General features: G+C 54.5%; 1 protein-coding gene across 6 annotated transcripts in view, besides 7 other annotated features; it reads left to right on the top strand.

The window, feature by feature from the left end:
* The window catches only part of TESC (tescalcin), a 60,494-nt gene extending 46,896 nt beyond the window's left edge, over positions 1-13,598 (top strand). For 3 of the 6 annotated variants that reach the window (NM_001168325.2, NM_017899.4, XM_011538503.1), the window contains 5 exons: positions 3,363-3,502; positions 5,683-5,744; positions 5,855-5,962; positions 10,527-10,574; positions 13,311-13,598. In NM_001168325.2, the coding sequence (NP_001161797.1) occupies positions 3,363-3,502; positions 5,683-5,744; positions 5,855-5,962; positions 10,527-10,574; positions 13,311-13,388 (436 nt within the window). In that variant the 3' untranslated portion in view covers positions 13,389-13,598. Of the gene's footprint in view, positions 1-3,362; positions 3,503-5,682; positions 5,750-5,854; positions 5,963-10,526; positions 10,575-13,310 lie in introns of all 6 variants that reach the window. The other 3 variants (XM_047429044.1, XM_017019532.2, NR_031766.3) reach the window with 2 other exon arrangements.
* Positions 1,403-1,697: a silencer, noted in NCBI's record as "tiled region #12935; K562 Repressive DNase matched - State 8:EnhW". NCBI's record gives its function as "represses a minimal TATA promoter and a strong SV40 promoter by Sharpr-MPRA in K562 cells {active_cell/tissue: K562}" and the evidence as "EXISTENCE:reporter gene assay evidence [ECO:0000049][PMID:27701403]".
* Positions 9,303-9,597: a silencer, noted in NCBI's record as "tiled region #12461; K562 Repressive DNase matched - State 5:Enh". NCBI's record gives its function as "represses a minimal TATA promoter and a strong SV40 promoter by Sharpr-MPRA in K562 cells {active_cell/tissue: K562}" and the evidence as "EXISTENCE:reporter gene assay evidence [ECO:0000049][PMID:27701403]".
* Positions 9,833-10,337: a silencer, noted in NCBI's record as "fragment chr12:117479989-117480493 (GRCh37/hg19 assembly coordinates)". NCBI's record gives its function as "represses an EF-1alpha promoter that drives an FKBP-Casp9 reporter gene in an ReSE screen in K562 erythroleukemia cells {active_cell/tissue: K562}" and the evidence as "EXISTENCE:reporter gene assay evidence [ECO:0000049][PMID:32094911]".
* Positions 11,256-12,199: an enhancer, noted in NCBI's record as "H3K4me1 hESC enhancer chr12:117478127-117479070 (GRCh37/hg19 assembly coordinates)". NCBI's record gives its function as "activates a minimal SCP1, AML or CMV promoter by ChIP-STARR-seq in primed H9 embryonic stem cells {active_cell/tissue: H9 hESC(primed)}" and the evidence as "EXISTENCE:reporter gene assay evidence [ECO:0000049][PMID:30033119]".
* Positions 12,200-13,145: an enhancer, noted in NCBI's record as "H3K4me1 hESC enhancer chr12:117477181-117478126 (GRCh37/hg19 assembly coordinates)". NCBI's record gives its function as "activates a minimal SCP1, AML or CMV promoter by ChIP-STARR-seq in primed H9 embryonic stem cells {active_cell/tissue: H9 hESC(primed)}" and the evidence as "EXISTENCE:reporter gene assay evidence [ECO:0000049][PMID:30033119]".
* Positions 15,193-15,944: an enhancer, noted in NCBI's record as "H3K27ac-H3K4me1 hESC enhancer chr12:117474382-117475133 (GRCh37/hg19 assembly coordinates)". NCBI's record gives its function as "activates a minimal SCP1, AML or CMV promoter by ChIP-STARR-seq in primed H9 embryonic stem cells {active_cell/tissue: H9 hESC(primed)}" and the evidence as "EXISTENCE:reporter gene assay evidence [ECO:0000049][PMID:30033119]".
* Positions 15,945-16,697: an enhancer, noted in NCBI's record as "H3K27ac-H3K4me1 hESC enhancer chr12:117473629-117474381 (GRCh37/hg19 assembly coordinates)". NCBI's record gives its function as "activates a minimal SCP1, AML or CMV promoter by ChIP-STARR-seq in primed H9 embryonic stem cells {active_cell/tissue: H9 hESC(primed)}" and the evidence as "EXISTENCE:reporter gene assay evidence [ECO:0000049][PMID:30033119]".

Genomic DNA, 18,053 nt, shown 5'->3' with positions numbered 1-18,053 from the left:
GGCCCAGAAGTCACTGAGGGAGGGGATGATTTTAAAAAGGGTTTCCTCTGGCCTGCACCCAGAACAACTTCGTGGGCTACAGCTGGGAGCCTGTAACTATTGGAAAAGGGCTTCACATCACATCCTGTAAATGCTGAGAAGAAGCTGGAGGAGGATTTCAGAGGAGATGCTGGAAACAGGATTTTCCTTTCAAGAAATACCAGCCTCAGCCTTTGTTCCTAAGACTCTTTGGGAACAGGTCTTGGGGAAGGGGTATTTTGAGCAGAGGCCATCCCCACCTCCAGGGCGCCCCATTCCTTACAGAAGAATTGGAAAGTTAAGGGGGCATCTTTGCAAAAAGAGTGAAAATGGCCTGCCCTCATGCTGGGTTGCAGATTTAGATGTAGCCCCTGTTTTCTGTCCACTGATCTTCATCCTGGTGCTCATTTTAGAAATGGGAGTTAGAGGGCTGGGTGTGGTGGCACGCACCTGTAATCCCAGCTACTCCAGGAGGCTAAGGCAGTAGGATTGCGTATGGCCAGGGTTCAAGACCAGTCTGGGCAATATAGCGAGATCTCATCTCTTAAAAAATAAATAAATAAATAAACTTTTATTTAAAAAATGGAGTGGAGAGCAAGTGGGGCTGGTTCCAGGTGCTCTGTCTGGGTTTCTTTGGCACTGGCTGTCATTGCCTTTGGAGACCAGAATGTTGGTCTCTTCAGACCTGCGGGAGCACTCGGAGGGGAAGGGACCCTCCTTCCTTGAGTTGGGTCCTGAGGCTGAAGCAGTGCCGGTCACAAGGTTCCCAGAGAAGGACACACACCTGCCTTCCCCAGGGGTCTATCACATTTTCACCCATGCTAATCTTAATCCCTCTTGCTGCAGCCTAAACCACTTGGGAAGGACGTGTGAGCCAGTCGCTGTGGGAAGGGCTTTCAGAGCAGCCCGATAAGTCCGGGGGCTATTTTTATGCTCTGTAAATTTGGTCTCTGCCGCCCACAGTGAGAACTTTGAGGTTATTAAAGCCTGTGGCAGGAGCGGTGGGGAGCTTCATACGATAAAAGAGAGAAGAGAGACCTGTGAAAACACATAAAGATGGGGCTTCCTGAGCCCAGGGAAGGACAGATCTCATCCCGCAGATGGGCAGTTTCTTGATCCGCCTTCCCTAATCCAGACTTGGGACCCCACCTCTCCCTGGAAAATCTCCTGGAAGAGAAAAATAAAAAAGTGGGAGTTCCCAGGACACTTAGAGGCTGTCGTATGGGTGTTAGTGTATTTGCTGGGTGCTGAAAAGGAGTAGTAGATGAACCTCTAAAGAGAGAATTGCAAACATATTCCTTTACATGGAGGTGCAGTCGTGCCCTGGGTGGGACCCAAGTAACATATCCAAGCACTAACCACTAACTGTTAGCCACCCCGGGCCAGCTAGGCACTGCCCCTTCCGAAGGGCCACAGTGAGAGGCTGTGGCAGAAACTTGAGCTTGCCAGCCATATGACAGCCTGCCCCAGCAGCCTCGGGCGCTCATGGTCACAGTCCAGTAGAGATAAGGGTTTGACGACAGTGGGTCAGGAGCTTGGGTTTGGAGTCATCTCCAGGCTGTTTTGTTTCTTTCGTTTGAGACAGGGTCTTACTTAGCCACCCAGGCTGGAGTGCAGTGGCGTGATCTTGGCTCACTGCAGCCTCGGCCTCCTGGGCTCAAGTGATCCTCCCACCTCAGCCCCCTAAGTAGCTGGGACTACAGGTGCACACCACCGCACCCATCTAATTTTTTGTAGAGACAGGGTTTCTCCCTGTTGCCCAGGGTGGTCTTGAACTCCAGAGCCCAAGCAATTGGCCTGCCTCAGTCTCCCAAAGTGCAGGGGTTACAGGCGTAAGCCATTGCGCCTGGCCTCCGAGCTATTAACAACTGCCAAGACCTGAGCTGGACCACACATTTCTGAGTCCCTCATCTGGGTGTCAGGCAGTGTGCCGGGCATGGGGCATGAACTCCCTGTGTCCCCATCCCCCAGAACACCAGCCCTTTCTTGCCTCCTCCAAAAAGCACATTTGTACGGCCAGTCTCAAACCTGCCCTAACTTACCACAAAACTTTCAATCCTTGGCAAACTTTGTATTTGGGTATAAACAGATTACTTAGAGATGCTTGCAGCCAATCACCATCCTAAAATTTTGAACTAGTGAGAGCGAGCAGAGGTTGGCAAACCTTTTCTGTAAAAAGACAAGGAGTAAATATTTTAGGCTTTGCGGGCCACGCAGTCTCTGTTGCAGCTACTCAGCTCTGCAGACAAGCATAAATGAATGGGCATGGCTGTGTGCCAATAAAATTTTATTTATGGACACTGACATTTGAATTTCATGTAATTTTCACTTGTCATGAAATACTATTCGACTTTTTTTTTTTTGGCAAGCATTTTTTCAACTATTTAAAAATGTGAAAACCGGCCAGGCACATGGCTGTCATATATAGTCCCAGCACTTTGGGAGACCAAGGCAGGAGGATGGCTTGAGCTCAGGAGTTTGAGGCTGCACCACTGAACTCCAGCCTGGGCAATGGAGTGAGACCCTGACTCTGACAAAATTAAGATAAAATTGTGAAAAGTCTTCTTCCTCTTCTTCCTTTTTTTTTTTTTTTTTTTTTCTTGAGACAGGGTCTCCCTCTGTCACCCAGGCTGGAGTGCAGTGGTGTGATCTCAGCTTACTGCAACCTCCACCTCCTGAGTTCAAGCGATTCTCTCGCCTCAGCCTCCCGAGTAGCTGGGACTACAGGTGCACACCACCATGCCCAGCTAATTTTTGCATTTTTATTAGAGGCGTGGTGTCATCATGTTGGCCAGGCTGGTCTCGAACTCCTGACCTCAGGTGATCTGCCCACCTCGGCCTCCCAGAGTGCTAGGATTAGAGGCATTAGCCACCGCACCCAGCCCGAAAAGTCTTCTTAGTTCAGGGGCTGTATGAAAATAGATGACAGGCCAAATTGGGCCTATGGGCTGTTTGCCAACCCCTGAGCTAAAGGAAAGGATCAGGAGATGTACTCAGTGAGTTACTGGATTGCTTGGTTTCTTCATAAGTGCTGGCCTGTGTGCACCATCACACACCCACGCATCCCTCTGTCACCGCCTGAATCAACGGTCACGCAGTTGTCTCTCTCTCTTCCACCTCCCTGATGATGAGCTCCGTGAGGGCAGGGCAAGGGCTGAGCTTTCAGCTTCCGGAGCCTGCAGCCCCGCCACGAAGCAGGTTCTTGGGGCACAGACGCAAGGCGAGAGCAGCCATCGTGGGTCCAGTGTGCACCCTGAGAGCGGAGTTCTCGGGAGCTAATGGTAGCAAGAGGACAAGATCCAGTTCTTCATTTATTTCCAACACCCTCCTTGTTGCTCCCGTAGGAACCTGCGCAAGGGACCCAGTGGCCTGGCTGATGAGATCAATTTCGAGGACTTCCTGACCATCATGTCCTACTTCCGGCCCATCGACACCACCATGGACGAGGAACAGGTGGAGCTGTCCCGGAAGGAGAAGCTGAGATGTGCGTGCCACTGAGTCCCCTTGCTCACACCTGGCCTGGGGTGCAGCCTCCCCTAAGACCTCAGAACGCAAGGCGCCTCTGCAGCAGGAGGCTGGGTGTGCATTGGCTTGGGGGCTTGGAGGGCTTGGGGCCACCAGCCCTCGTCCCTGTGAGGCTGGCATTGCTGTCTCCCGTTCCCGGCACCTTCATCCTAAACATTCCTCAGCAGCTTGTGGCTTCCTGGGACTAGAAGGGGGTTGTGCGGTGGATGTGAAACAAGGCCCTTGATGCAAAGACCTGGGTTCCAGTGTGGCCCGTCTCACCAGCCATGTGACCTTGAACCTTGACCCAGAACGTGGGTATGCCGATCATGCGTGGTTCTGAGGGCTGGGTAAGATCACACAGTCAGCCTTTGGCACACAGGAAGCGCTCCCTAAAGTCAGTTTCCTCCTCTCCCTCCTCCATGGGCTGTGCTATTGCTGGGTTCCTGAGACCAGCCCCACTATGTTCTGGCTCCCGAGTGGGTTCAGTTGTGGTCCCAGCTGGCCAGCCGCACAGGTCCCAGGCAGTGCCCCGAGTCACATCTCCTTTTCCTGTGGCCTTTCCCATGACTCCTGACATCCCTCTGTGTCCCGCCCCAGGTCAGCCTCCTCATCAAGAAAATGTAAACATGGGACTTCGCTATATTTAGCACTGGAATGTGTATGCGGGGCTGGTGGGAACAGCCCGGGTGGCGGGGGTGGATCCCTGGTGTGAGCCTGGCTTCCTGTCTGCTCCAAGGGGCGTGGAACAGGACGGACTCAGGTCCAAATCCCTGGTTTCCTGTCCCTTAGTGGTGTGGCCGTGGGCAAACGCCTTAACTTCCGTGAGCTTTGACAGTCTGTCTGGGAGGCAGGGCTCAGGCATCCCTGGCCTCTTGGGGTTGGGTGAGAGGGAGACAGAGGTTTGTGAAGCGCTTTGCACACCTGGGCATCTGGTCAGTGTTCAGTAAATGCCAGCTGGGCTCAGTGGTGCACTCCTGTAATCCCAGCACTTTAGGAGGCTGAGTGGGGAGGATAACTTGAAGCCACGAGTTCAGGGCTCAGCCTGGGCAGCAGAGAAAGACACTTGCCTCTACAAAATAAAAAAATGAGCACGGCATAGTGGTGCTGCGTGCCTGTGGTCCCTGGTACTCGGGAGACTGGGGTGGGAGGGTAGTTTGAGCCCAGGATATGGAGGCTGCAATGAGCTACAGTTGCACCACTACATTCAGCCTGTGCGACAGAGTGAGACCCCATCTCTGAAAAAAATAATAACAATAATAAAAAATAAATGCCGGCTGAGCACGGTGGCTCACACCTGTAATCCCAGCACTTTGGGAGGCTGAGGTGGGTGGATCATTTGAGGTTGGGAGTTTGAGACCAGCCTGGCCAACTGGTGAAACCCTGTCTCTACTAAAAACACAAAAATTACTTGGGCATGGCGGCGTGCACCTGTAATCCCAGCTACTCAGGAGGCTGAAGCAGGAGAATCTCTCGAACCCAGGAGGCAGAGGTTGCAGAGAGCCCAGATCGTGCCACTACACTACAGCCTGGGTGACAGAGCGAGACTAAATCTTGAAAAAATAAATACATTAAAAAAAAAAATGCCAACACAGAAGACTTGGGAGAGCTCCAGCTCCCAAGGCCGTGCTGGGAACAACATGGAGAGGCCCCCTCCCGGCCATCGCCTCCCTGATGCCAGGCCTGGGGCTGCCCATGTTAGATCAGTCGGGCCCAGATCAGAAGCACTGTGGACCGTGACCTGCTATGGGTGAGATGATGGTGCCCTCCAGGGCTGTGGGAACAATATTTTGAACTCGACACCGTTTGACTTGTGTTAACGGGTAACGCTTACTGTCGTGATATTCATGCTCACGGGGCAGTTGCCAGGCCCTAACGCCACAGCGCTAGCTCCCAGCCCTCCTAAGGCCACGAGGTAGACACTGTTGTTATTCCCATTTCACAGATGAGGAAACTGAGGCTCAGAGAAGTTAGGTCACGGGCCCAAGGTCACCCAGTAGGAAGTAGTCAGTCTGGTCCCACAGCTCATGCCCTGACCCCTCTGGCTTTGGCATTGAGGTTTGGTTATTGGTGTCTTTTGCTTAGTTTAGTGTACATTTCAGGGGGTGGCAGGGGCCAGGCCCCGCCTGACGGAGTCCCCTCTCTCCCCTGCCACCCTAGTTCTGTTCCACATGTACGACTCGGACAGCGACGGCCGCATCACTCTGGAAGAATATCGAAATGTAAAGTATGCTCCTCTGGCCCGCCCGGGGCTCCTGGTGCCTTCCCCCTCTGCCCCCCACGACCCTGATGGAGGCCCAAGGTCACCGTTTGTTTCCGCCCCACCTGGCAGGTGGTCGAGGAGCTGCTGTCGGGAAACCCTCACATCGAGAAGGAGTCCGCTCGCTCCATCGCCGACGGGGCCATGATGGAGGCGGCCAGCGTGTGCATGGGGCAGATGGTGAGCGCCCCTGCAGCCCTCCCGAGACGCGCAGTGCCTTTCCCGCTTATGGTCTGCGTTTCTGGAAGGCCTCATGGGGCAGGGGCCAGGTGTATTCTGCCACCTGCTCTACCTGTGGCCTGTGGGGCTCAGGAACCTCTCCCAGCCCTTCCTGTCCCCCAGGAGACTGAAGGTCCAAGTCCCCAGAGAGCTGCATAAGGCAGGGAAGCAGAGTTCGAGATCTCAGGCTTTGGGGTCCAGGAGCCCCCACCTGCATAGCCCCCTGATCCCCCACCCCGGCCTCAGTCAGTGCTCACAGCAGCACTTGACCCTGGGGCCAGGCCTAGGTAGCACATGGCACAGGCTGGCCTTAATTGGTTTATTTCTTAACAAATGACTCAGAGGCAACTTCTGGCCTCGAAGGCAGGGGTCAGCAGGGAGCCCTATTGGGGGCTGACAAGAGCCGATGGCATGGAGTCCGGTGGAGGAGCCGAGGTGGGGGCTGGTGTGTAAATGACACAGAAGAGAGGGAAGTGGCCTTTCCATGTTCATCATTTATTACATCTTGCCTCATTTTGACTGGTGGGAAAACTGAGACTCAGAGAGCATAGAGAATCCTCTAGACCTTATGATCTTTCCTGTGCAGGGTGGATTTTCTCTTGTAAGGACAGGTGCAGCCCCACCAGCCCCCAGCCCTAAGGCTCTAAGCCTCTGGGGACCACTCAGGCAGGCAGGTGACCACCTGGGTGTCGTGTGTTCCCTGAGGGGTTTGGATGGCCCCACTGATGCAGTCAGCCCTTTGCCCCTGTGTGTCTAAAGTGGCTGCGTCTCTAGACACCCTGACGGCTTTGTGTTTGCCCAGCCTGGAGTGGAGGGGCGTTCATGCTGGATCCTGCTCTCTGTGCCCCAAGCCTGTCCTTGAGGGACATGAGGCCACCGGCCTGGGCCTGCCCCCAGGGGCAGGGGCTGTGGTCGGTTGGTTTCCTGACGTGTATTTTATCTGTTTGCCTCTGGAGCCCAGGGGGAAGCTTCTGGCTTGGGTGAAACCTCCGCACTCAGCAGACTAACCACCACGGGAGAGGGCTTGTGACCTCGGTGGGGAGAGCAGGGATCCCCCGCCGGGTTGTCGGGCCAAATTCCCATTTGATTTAATTACACTCTCCTTGTTCAAATTACTCCCTGTCCCACTCCAGTTTCAATTGGCGACAGTTTTCTTAATTTGCTGTAGTGAAATTGCTGGCAGCTGCCAGCTGCTGATCTGCATAAAACCCCCGCAGCCTGGGAAGCAGAGGCATCTCGGGGCGGAGGCCGGGCTCCGGGGCGTACCCGCTGCCTACGGGCCCCCATGAGGTGGGGGTAGCCCTGGAACCAGGAAGACGGCTGCAAGGCAGAGGGCTCATCTCCACCTCTTTCTTCACTCATGGGTCCTCCGGGTGCTCCTAAAATACCTTCTGGTGTAAACCTCGGCCAGATAAACCCAGACCGAGCTGTGCATGCGGCCTGAGCTGGGGGCAAGGGGCAGCTGCGTCGGTTCAATCCCTCCCAGCCTCTGAGGACACTTCCCGTTCTGACCGTGCCATCCGCCAAAGACAAACAATCCCTGGTCCCCACTTTAATGGACTTCCAAAGGCAGTTATTGACTGAGGCGGATCTGTCTCTCTCTCTTTTTTTTCTTTTTTTCCCGAGACCAAGTCTTACTCTGCCGCCCAGGCTGGAGTGCAGTAGCACCATCTCGGCTCACTGCAACCTCCACCTCCTGAGTTCAAGTGATTCTCCTGCCTCAGCCTCCCGAGTAGCTGGAATTACAGGCGTGTGCCACTACGCCCGGCTAATTTTTGTATTTTTAGCAGAGACGGGGTTTCACCATGCTGGCCAGCTGGTCTCGAACTCCTGACCTCAAGTGATCCACCCACCTTGGTCTCCCAAAGTGCTGGGATTCCAGGCATGAGCCGTCGCGCCGGCCTGTGGATCTTTTGAGAGTGCTTTCTCAGGAGGTCACACCCATGGATGCTTGATGGGGGGACTGCTTCACTGGGCATTCAGCCGGGGCTGCTTCCCCCAACTCCCCGCCCTCCTTCCTTGCACCGATCACCCCCTTTCCAGCCCCAGACTCTGGCCATGGGGGCCTTTTCTATAATTAGCTCCCCTTGGCCAGCCTGGGAACCTAGGGAGGCCCGGCAGGGAGGGCAGCCACTGTGCCCGTGAGTGGGAAGACAGGGAGGAAGGAGCCATTAGGGACAGGGCTGGCCCAGGCTAGCCGAGAACTGCTGGGTTTCATTTTTTTTTTAATTTATTATTTATTTTTTAAGAGACAGGGTCTCGTTCTGTCGCCCCAACTGGAGTGCAGTGGTACAGTGGTGTGATCATAGCTCACTACGGCTTCCATCTCCTGCGCTCAAGCCATCCTCCTACCTCAGCCTCTGGAGCAGCTGGGACTACAGGTGTACACCACCACACCCAGCTAATTTTTAAAAGTTTTTTAAAAAAGAGATGTTTTGCTAAAAAGAGATGTCATTATGTTGACCAGTCTGGTCTCGAACTCCTGGCCTCCAACAGTCCTCCTGCCTTGGCCTCCCAAAGTGCTGGGATGACAGATGTGAACCACTGTGCCTGGCCAAAATTTTTTTAAGTATAAAGAGGAAACTAAAGAGCCTGCAAAGTCCTGCCAGTAGAAACAGCCCTCAAGGACTTGGAGGCAGCTAGATGCTCCCAGCTGGACAGGCAGCTCCCTCTGTGTCCCTCATCTGTAATACAGGAGAGAGACTAGAACCCAACTCAGGGCCGGTTGTGAGATTGGCATCTATCATTAAATGCTAACAATAGCATTTGGTCACACCTGTAATCCCAGCACTTTGGGAGCCCCAGGCGGTTGGATTGCTTGAGGTCAGGAGTTCGAGACCAGCCTGGCTAACATGGTGAAACCCCTGTCTCTGCTAAAAAATTTAAAAAATTAGCCACGCATGGTGGTACATGCCTGTAATAATCCCAGCTACTTGGGAGTCTGAGGCAAGAGAATCACTTGAACCTGGGAGGCAGAGGTCACAGTGAGCCAAGATCGCGCCACTGCACTCCTCCAGCCTGGGCAACAGAGCGAGACTCTGTCTCAAAAACAAAACAAAACAAATGAAAACAAAACAATACCACTTGGAAGGCACTTGGGACATACATGCCTGGTGCATAACATGCTTAGAGTGTGCCTCCTGTGTTCTTAAACACACGTTGTACAGAATTTCAGACAGTCACAGAGAGAGCTTTGAGCCTCTCCTGCTCCCCCACCAGCCCAGGTCCTCTTCCCTAAAGGGACTCCCTCTCGGTGGTTTTTTTCCTACATATACCAATGTATACATGCATGTCTTTTATTTTTGATGTATGCAAAACATAATCGAACCGATGTGGCTTCCCATTTTCTCCGTATGACCCCACACACCCACAGGGCAGATGGTGGGGGTCTGGTTATCAGTCTGAGGAAAGGTTTGCGTGCACAGACCTGCAGACATCTTTCTGCTTGTTGGGTTTTGTTTTTTGTTCTTTATCTGCTGGGTACACATCTCAGAGCCTTTTCCAGAGTGAGACATACAGATCAACCCCTTCTTAACCCATTTTTGCCTGAGGTTGCAGCTTTTTCAATTTTTGCAATCAGACCTTGGCGATGACCTTGACCAGTAGGATATAAGTAACTCCCACAGCTTAGCGTTCCAGTAATGGAACACTAGGCATAAATGGTTAATGGTTGCGTGGGAATCAATAGCGTGGATGACCGAGATTTATGTCCCTCGCCTTCTATTGACGGGCACCTGGGATGTCAGCGGGTTTTCGCTGTCACAAAGCGAGCTGCAGGGTGAGGTTTTTGGAGGCTTGTCGGTGGGATCCTGGAGTATCGGTGAAAGGGGCAGGAGCACCTGGTGTCATCCCCAGAGCAGGGAGGACGCAGAGGCGATGGAGACTGGCATCGCCAAACCCACTCAGCAGGGAGAGGCTCCTTGTGGCCACCCTCTGGCCCTGCCCTCCCCAGTGGCCCTGAGTTATCACGGTGACTCACGAGGCATGAGGCGTGGGCCTCACAGGCTGGCCCTGTGTTTCCCTGACCTCTCCCCTGAGGTCTGTGAGCTTAGATTAGCCTGGAATCTTCTTATCAGCACAGCGCAGGCATGAGGAGGCCAGACCTAGGCGGGTACAGGAGGCATCTTGGTGGTCCAGCTGCTGGGGGGCTGGTGGTGAGGTGGGCTGAGTGGGGAAGGAGAGCCCCATGCCCTCATGTCACCCACACCTCGGATTCTCCCTGGGGGGCTGGGGGAGGGGAGGGAGGCTGCTCTGAGCCACACGTTGCCAGGGCCCTGGTGAGCGACGCTCGGCTCCCATCCCACCCTCAAGCCCATGAATGAGGATATTGGAGGTTCAGGGTGACCGGCTCCATGCTGGAGGCAGACGATCCAGAACGTTCTCCTCTTCTTGTGATTCCTCCCAAACAGCCTCAACAACTTACATTTGGGTATTGGTGGGGAGGGGAGGCCAGTGGACCGTCCCCCTGCGGAAGCTGTGTGGGGACCTGCGCCACTCACTGTCCACCCTGTGCTTCCGTCCCCAGGAGCCTGATCAGGTGTACGAGGGGATCACCTTCGAGGACTTCCTGAAGGTGGGTGGCCTGGGCGTGGGAGCCTCGGGGGACCCTTGAAGACCTCGTGTGGCCCACTGGTCAGGAGGGGACATGGCTCTTTACCTGCAGTAGCAAGGGACAGGCTTCCTGGGTGACCAACATCTCAGTAGGAAGGGGTCAACCTGGGCATGGCCTTTAAAGCAATTTAAACTGGTTTTTCTTATTTTTATGGAAAAGGTAATATTCACACGTAGTCAAAACAATGTAAGCAGTACAAAAGGGTATATAGTGTAAACCAAATTCTCTCCCACCTGCGGTCCCACTGCCGCTTCTCAGAAGTAACCCCCGTTGTAGGCTGGGCGCGGTGGCTCATGCCTGTAATCCCAGCACGTTGGGAGGCTGAGGCGGGCAGATCACCTGACGTCAGGAGTTCGAGACCAGCTTGACCAACATGGTGAAACCCCATCTCTACTAAAAATACAAAACTTAGCCAAGCGTGGTGGCAGGCGCCTGTAATCCCAGCTACTCGGGAGGCAGAGGCGGGAGGATCGCTTGAATCCAGGAGGTAGAGGTTGCAGTAAGCTGAGATTGCGCCACTGTACTCCATCCTGGGTGATAGAGTGAGACCCCATCTCAAAAAAAAAAAGGCCCTGTTGTAGTTGGAACAGGGATTCTGGGAACTTTCTGTGTCTTTAGAAATAGTGTTTCTCGGAAGCTCAGTTTGGAGCTGACTGCACACGTTGCGCCCGGGCCTTCCTCGCTGTGTCCTAAAATGACACTTTCGTAAAGCGGCCGCCCACTCTGCCCTCCTCCCTGATGGCTCCTCCAGCCTCTGCTAGTGGATGGTGGTTAGGCCAGTGCTGGCCTTGCAAATCAAGACCTGCTCCTGGCCGTTTTGATAATCAGATGCCCTGTGGCAGGGAGAGGACCCCTGTCCCCATCCCCCTCCCCCCATCCCCCTCCCCGCAGTTCGGCCCTGGGCATCACAACAGTGTTCCCAAGTGCTTTTGGGGTACTTGAGGAAGACAAGGAAGTCAGGGGAGCAAGAGACCAAGAGAGGAGAGAGGATTAGGGAAGGAAGGATCACGGCTTCTGGCCAAGGAGCCTAGAGCAGGACTGGGGGACTGGGCCCTCAGGGTCACAGCCCCATGGAGCCGAGGCCAAGCCTGGCAGCCAACGGTTAGAACCGGCAGGAGAGAGGAGAGGCAGGCAGCAGGGCCTGGCTGTGATGAAAGGCTGAAAGGAGACTGCGGAGGTCGGCAGGCCCCGTGGACTGCCGTGCAGATGGCCCACCCCGGGGCTGGCAGGGCGGGCAGACTGGGAAAAGGCAGAATTTGCACTTGTGCTTCAGACTCACTCTGGCCTATGCTGGGGACCCGGTCACCAGAGAAGGTGACGCCCGCCAGAGCAAGACAACAGAATGAAGAGCTAGAAGGTGGAGGAGGGAGGGAGGGTTGGGGAGGAAGTATCGCTGCTTCAGGCTGAGTAGAATGAATTTCTTTGCCTCCGAAACCAACTTCCTTCCCCTAAAGGCTGGCCTCTGCCAGGCCCCTAGTGCTCCCCAAGCCTGTCCCTGTACCCCTGAGGGATCTTTTGGGACCAGCTGGCCCTTCCCATTCCCTGATTCCTTCCAATGCCCTCAGCGACCATGTTGCCACCTGGCACTTAGCAGAAACCACCGTGAGTGTCCATGCGTGTTACCCTGGGAATGCCTCGTGCATCCAGCAAGGATGGGGCCGCTCGACTGGGACCAGAGCTGTCTTTGCACACCCCATGACACCCAGAACAGGCTCAGGAAAGCAGGAAGTACCTGGGGGCTGCGGCCGGAAATGTCCCAAGGCCTCCCTGTCGCCTGGGTGCCCACGGGGCTCTGACTTTCCCCCGTTACCAGCCTCGTGGCTGTCCCCGGAGATGCTGAGAGTGACAGCTTGAGAGTTTGATTCTTACATAAGCGGGAAGCAGTGAGAAGTCACCCGCCCACCACGTCCCTCCGTTCCTGTTGGCACCCCCCCATCCTACCATCTGTGGCCCCCGTGGGCCCTGACTTGCTAAGGCGCTGGCGGGCATAGCCTTGGGAGCACTGGGGTACATACATGGCCTTGTAGCACGAAGGCCCACTCCAAGGTTCTGGCCAGGCTGGACTGTAACAGCAGTACCAGCACCAGGAATGGGGCCACCATGTGATCTTTGGGTAGAAATGACCTTTTTGGGCTTGAGTTTGTCTTTCTAGAATGCACGTGATCCCTTATCCCAGGGAGGTTGTAAAGACCACACTGTGGAGATCCTTAAATTGATGACGATGGCCTAGCGAAGCCTTGTGACCGCACAGCCCCTAACAGTTTACAAAACGCGTCCATGATGAGGACGGGTCCATTAGAGCCCCCAACGTTCTGTGAAGTGGGCGGCACAGGTTGGGGAAGGGGACTTAATGGGGTTATGTAATTTGCATGAAAATCACAGAACCTGAAGTGGTGGGTGAGATTCAAATGCCTTGGAGCTAAGAGCTTGGATTCAGTACTTAATAATAACTTGCTGTGACAATCTCAGAAAGAATCCAAATGTCAGAGCCAAATTAACCAGCAAAAAAGACAGATGGAAGTTTTTCGTCCTCGCTTAGCTCATAGTCTTGAAACACAGCCCTCTGGTTTTCACCTGCCTGGAACATCACAGTTGGTGGCAGGAGACGGTAGGTGGGAAGGGCCGAGGACCGGGGGGCCTGGTCAGGTGTGAGGTGGCGGCGGGAACGTGCCCTTAACGCTGCTCCGTCCCTTCCAGATCTGGCAGGGGATCGACATTGAGACCAAGATGCACGTCCGCTTCCTTAACATGGAAACCATGGCCCTCTGCCACTGACCCACCGCCACCTCCGCGGAGAAACTGCACTTTGCAATGGGGCCGCCTCCCCGCGTAGCTGGAGCAGCCCAGGCCCGGCGGACAGCCTCTTCCTGCAGCGCCGGTACATAGCCAAGGCTCGTCTGCGCACCTTGTGTCTTGTAGGGTATGGTATGTGGGACTTCGCTGTTTTTATCTCCAATAAAAAAAAAAAAAAGGTTTGTTAATTAATGTGGCCTCTGTCAGTTCCTCACGTCCATTAAAGTGGCCTGGTCACTTGGCAGCATGAGACTGACTATGAGGAACAAGCAATGATGAAATTATTTTATTTTTATTTTGGAGACAGGGCCTCCCCCTGTCACCTAGGCTGGAGTGCAGGCGGGATCACGGCTCACTGAAGCTTTGACCTCCTGGGCTCAAGCAGTCTTCCTGCCTCAGGCTTCCAAGGAGCTGGGGCTACAGGCACACACCACCACACCCGGCTAGTTTTTACATTTTTTGTAATGACAGGGTCTTAATATGTTGCCCAGGCTGGTCTCTTACGACTGGGCTCAAGCGATCCTCCTGCCTCAGTCTCCCAAAGTGCTAGGATTACAGGAGTGAGCCACCACACCTAGCCTAAATAGTATTAAAAGGTTGGTTTGGCAGAAGAACTGTTCTTTCTTGTTTATTTTGGGTAAAGTATCTGCTGTTCTTCCTATGTAAATCCTGGGAACCCATCCGTGTTCTCCATCCTAGGGAGTAAAATAAGGAGAAGCAGCTCCTGCCCTGTGTGGGCTTCTGAGGTGGCCAGGACTCAGGCAGTGGGGCCTCCTCACTGTCACAGCCACATCTGTAGACTGATGGAGAAAACATCTGCAGCCCCGAGCCTGTGCCTGCTGCGGGGATGCACCCGAGCCTGTCCCTGCTGTGGGGACGCACCTGAACCCGCTCCGTTGGTCAGTGGGCGCGGGGAGTCAGGGCCTGGCTGGCTGACCCGGGACCCCCAGCTCCTCACGGTGATTGGGGGAGGGGCAGTGTGGTCTGCCAGCCATGGCTGTGCCCCTGGCTCTTTCTGGCAGTCCTGGGCCAGTTGCAGGGCCCAGGGCCCTACAGCCTTCCAGCAAGCAGCGGCAGTGGAAGCTGGGTAGGTAAGGATCCCTGACAACTTCAGTTATCACCTTTCAATTTGGGGACTGGCTAGAGCTGGGGGCAGGGAAACAAAGGTTGTTGGTCGTGGTGGCCTGGAGTCAGCAGAGGGCTGGCACCTGTGGGACTTGGAGAGCTGTGTCCTATGGGCGTTGCAACGGCCCGCTGAGTGCAACTTCCCTATCTCCCTGGGTGATGCGTTCCCATCGCTGTGCAAGGTGGGCTAGCATTTGCTTTCCAGGCCTCTTTCTGGTGCTGAAGTCCACGAAACGCCTAGTTCCTTTATTGACCCTCCCTGGGTGGCGTCGTTCTAGTATTCCAAGAGAGTTCTCTTGATAACTGGCAATAGGTATTATTTGCCTTCTTGGTGTTTTCATTCATAGTTTTAATTTGAAGCGTGCTTTACCTTTACTACAAGCCCACGCCTTGCAGTTCAGAATTTAAAAGCTTCGAAAAGGCAGGCCGTGGAATCTGCCCGCGACCCCCATCCCCCAGCCTCCCCCGTCTTCCCTTCTCAAAGGCAGATGTGTTAGCTCCTGCCTTAGGCATCCTTCCAGAGCCACTGCATGCACGTGGAAGCAGCTGTGTGCGGCAGGGTTCTTAGTTCACTCCACTTTTTGTAAATGGTGACGTTTATCAGGCTTCAGTGTCCACCACGTGAGGTTCCAGGTGGAAACTTGCAAACAGAAGAAGTAAGCTCAGGGCGCCTCTGCTTTTTTGCTCCCCACCCCCACCCCCCAGCATGCCCCTTCATTTATTTTATTTTATTTTATATTTTATTTATTATTTTTTGAGATAGGGTCTCACTCTGTCACCCAGGGTTGCAGTGGAGTGGTGCAATCTCAGCTCACTTCAACCTCCGCCTCCCAGGCTCAAGCAAACCTCCTACCTCAGCCTCCCGAGTAGCTGAGACTACAGGCACCCGCCACCATGCCTGGCTAATTTTTGTACTTTTTTAGTAGAGACAGGGTCTCCCCATGTTTCCCAGGCTAGTTTTGAACTCCTGAGCTCATGCAATCCACCCACCTCTGCCTCCCAAAGTGCTGGTAGCGCCTGGCCCTACCCCTTCTACATTAAAGGCTGGGGGAGTTCATTCGGTACAGCCCATCATAAGCACAGGCCCCGGACACTGTTCTAGGGGACCGTGACTTGTGCTTAAGGCTGCAAACGCACGGAGCCCAGATGGTGCTGAGATGCCCCATCTCCACTCTAGCGTTGAGCCTGGTGTGGTCCCAGCGGGAACCCTAGGCAGGGGAGTGGCTGCAGGGGGAGCCTCCTCTCTCAGCCTCAGACCAGGGACCCCTGGCCACGTGCTTGTGGACCGTTGTCACTTCTGAGGCAATGGTGGGCACGGCAGGCAGAAACACTATTGTTGGATGCGTTCCCACAGTGCTGAGCTGCGTCTAACCTGCTCCCCGAGGGCTCCCACACCCCTGCCCCCTGGAGAGGTGACTGAGGGTTCTGGGTGTTCCATGGATGAATATTGACTTCAACAGGTGTATTCCTGTTTTAATACATGTAAGAAAAAAAGTAACTTTACCCCACACCAGGGAGTCCATGGGATGCTGCTTAGGATGACTGAAAGTCAGGACTTGAATTTAAAAACACAGCCAAGCAGCACAGGGAGCTAAAGGGCCAGGTGACCCGCTACACAGGGAGCGGGCGAATGGCCCCGGGAAAGTGAGTGCGGCCTGGGGAGGCTCAGCTTTTGGTTAATGCGCACGACCTCCTGGGTAGGTGCCAAGCTGCGGCTGAGAGGCTCTTGACTCTGTGCTGTCATTGTCATTGTAAGCACCTGGCAGAGCCTAGTAGACACCAGACAGCAGCGTGTGCCACCCCAGGCTCTCCTGAGGCTTCTGCTCTCTGCAGGTAGGTGGCTGGAGGCAGGTTCAGTCTCTCCAGGGAGGTGAAATTGCATGGTCTGAAATCACCTCTGGAACTCTGCTTCTCAGTCTAGGAGTCCATTCAACACTCAAAGCTGCAGGGCAGGCCAGACACGGTGGGTGGCTCATGCCTGTGCCTTTGGGAGGCCGAGGCAGGCGACTCACTTGAGGTCAGGAGTTCGAGACCAGCCTGGCCAACATGGAGAAACCCTGTCTCTACTAAAAATACAAAAATTAGCTGGGCGTGGTGGTGGGCGTCTGTAGTCCCAGCTACTCAGGAGGCTGAGGCAGGAGAATCGCTTGAACCCGGGAGGTGGAGGCTGCCGTGAGCCAAGATCACACCACTACACTCCAGCCTGGGCGACGAAGCAAGACTGTCTCAAAAAAAAAAAAAAAAAAAAAAAAAAAGCTGCAGGGTAAAGACAGAGGTCTGTTTCCTGCCCTCAAGCGCTAACTACATAGTGGGAGAGACAAAGCCCCCGGGACTTCCAGGTGGATCCCAGGCAGTTTCCTCTGGAGGGAAGTGGGACGTGATCCCCCTCACCTGCTCTCCCTGCCTTCCCCTGCTGCTCGGGAGCTTCTTGGTCCCCTGGCTGCTGGCGGAAGGCACCTAGAAAGTCACTAGGACAGCCTGGTGGGGATCGGCCTTACTGCAAGAACCTCCCTCTTCCAGCCCCCATGCACCTTGCCCTGCCGTGCCCATGTGAGCAGGACGATCTGTGGTACCACTGAGCAGGAGGGCATACTGGCACTGCCACTGCAGGCCTCAGGTTTTCTGGGGCTGTCCCAGTTTGCTTTGATTTGGTTCATTTCAACAAAGGCAGTTCATTAACGTAAAGTGTTTTTATAAATAAATCATCTTCCGTCAGCCCCTGTGCCCCGAGTTTTAGTTTGGGAGATGTGGCCACGATGGGCACACATCAAATGTGCTCCCCTGTTTGGGCCACTGAGGCCTGCCTGATGTCTTTGAAGCTTTGGGCCACCGCTTATCTAAACAGCTAATTAAAATGAGGTTGAGTTACCGTGAGCCCAGTCCACACTGCTCAGAAGAAAGCTCATTTGTGCATAATCACTGAGGGTGTCCTCTAATTGGCAGGGTTAGGGCTCATTTCCGCCAGAGCGTGGATGCAGAAATCACCTGGCGCTCTCCTGCCCGGCTCCTGGCATTGTCTGTGGCATCCCGGGAACGATCAGGGTTGGCGATGAGTTGGTGCAAACCTGATCCCAGAAGGGGCAGGCTGATGCGTCTTGTGGGGCTGCTGGCCTTTGATCAACACAGACCGAGGGTTGCTGCCCCGGGCACGGATCTCAGTCAGCCCCACCATCTGGGCACTGCGGTCTGTGCCTCGGGCTGGAGGCAGGTGGTTCAGAAATGGCTCTTGTTATCTGCTGGCCGATGGGGCGTGCCCACGAGGGGATTTCTGGCCTCACAGACCCTGTCCCAAGTGCAGCAAGCCCCCTCTCATCCCTGGATGGGGACAGGAATGGAATGACTGGGGCACCTCAACTCTAGCAGCCTGAAGGAGGTGATGTGTTTGCCCTGAAACCTGGTCAGCAGGTGAGTGATAACCACGTACACGGGTTAACAGCCTTCCTTCCATCAGAAATGACACCAGTGACTAAAAGGAACTAGGCAGAAATCAACACTAAGTCAAATATTTGAAGGAAGCTGATA

This window comes from Homo sapiens, chromosome 12, assembly GCF_000001405.40.
Source record: "Homo sapiens chromosome 12, GRCh38.p14 Primary Assembly".
NCBI classification, from domain to species: Eukaryota; Metazoa; Chordata; class Mammalia; order Primates; family Hominidae; genus Homo; species Homo sapiens.
This window is presented reverse-complemented; position numbering and strand designations above follow the sequence as displayed.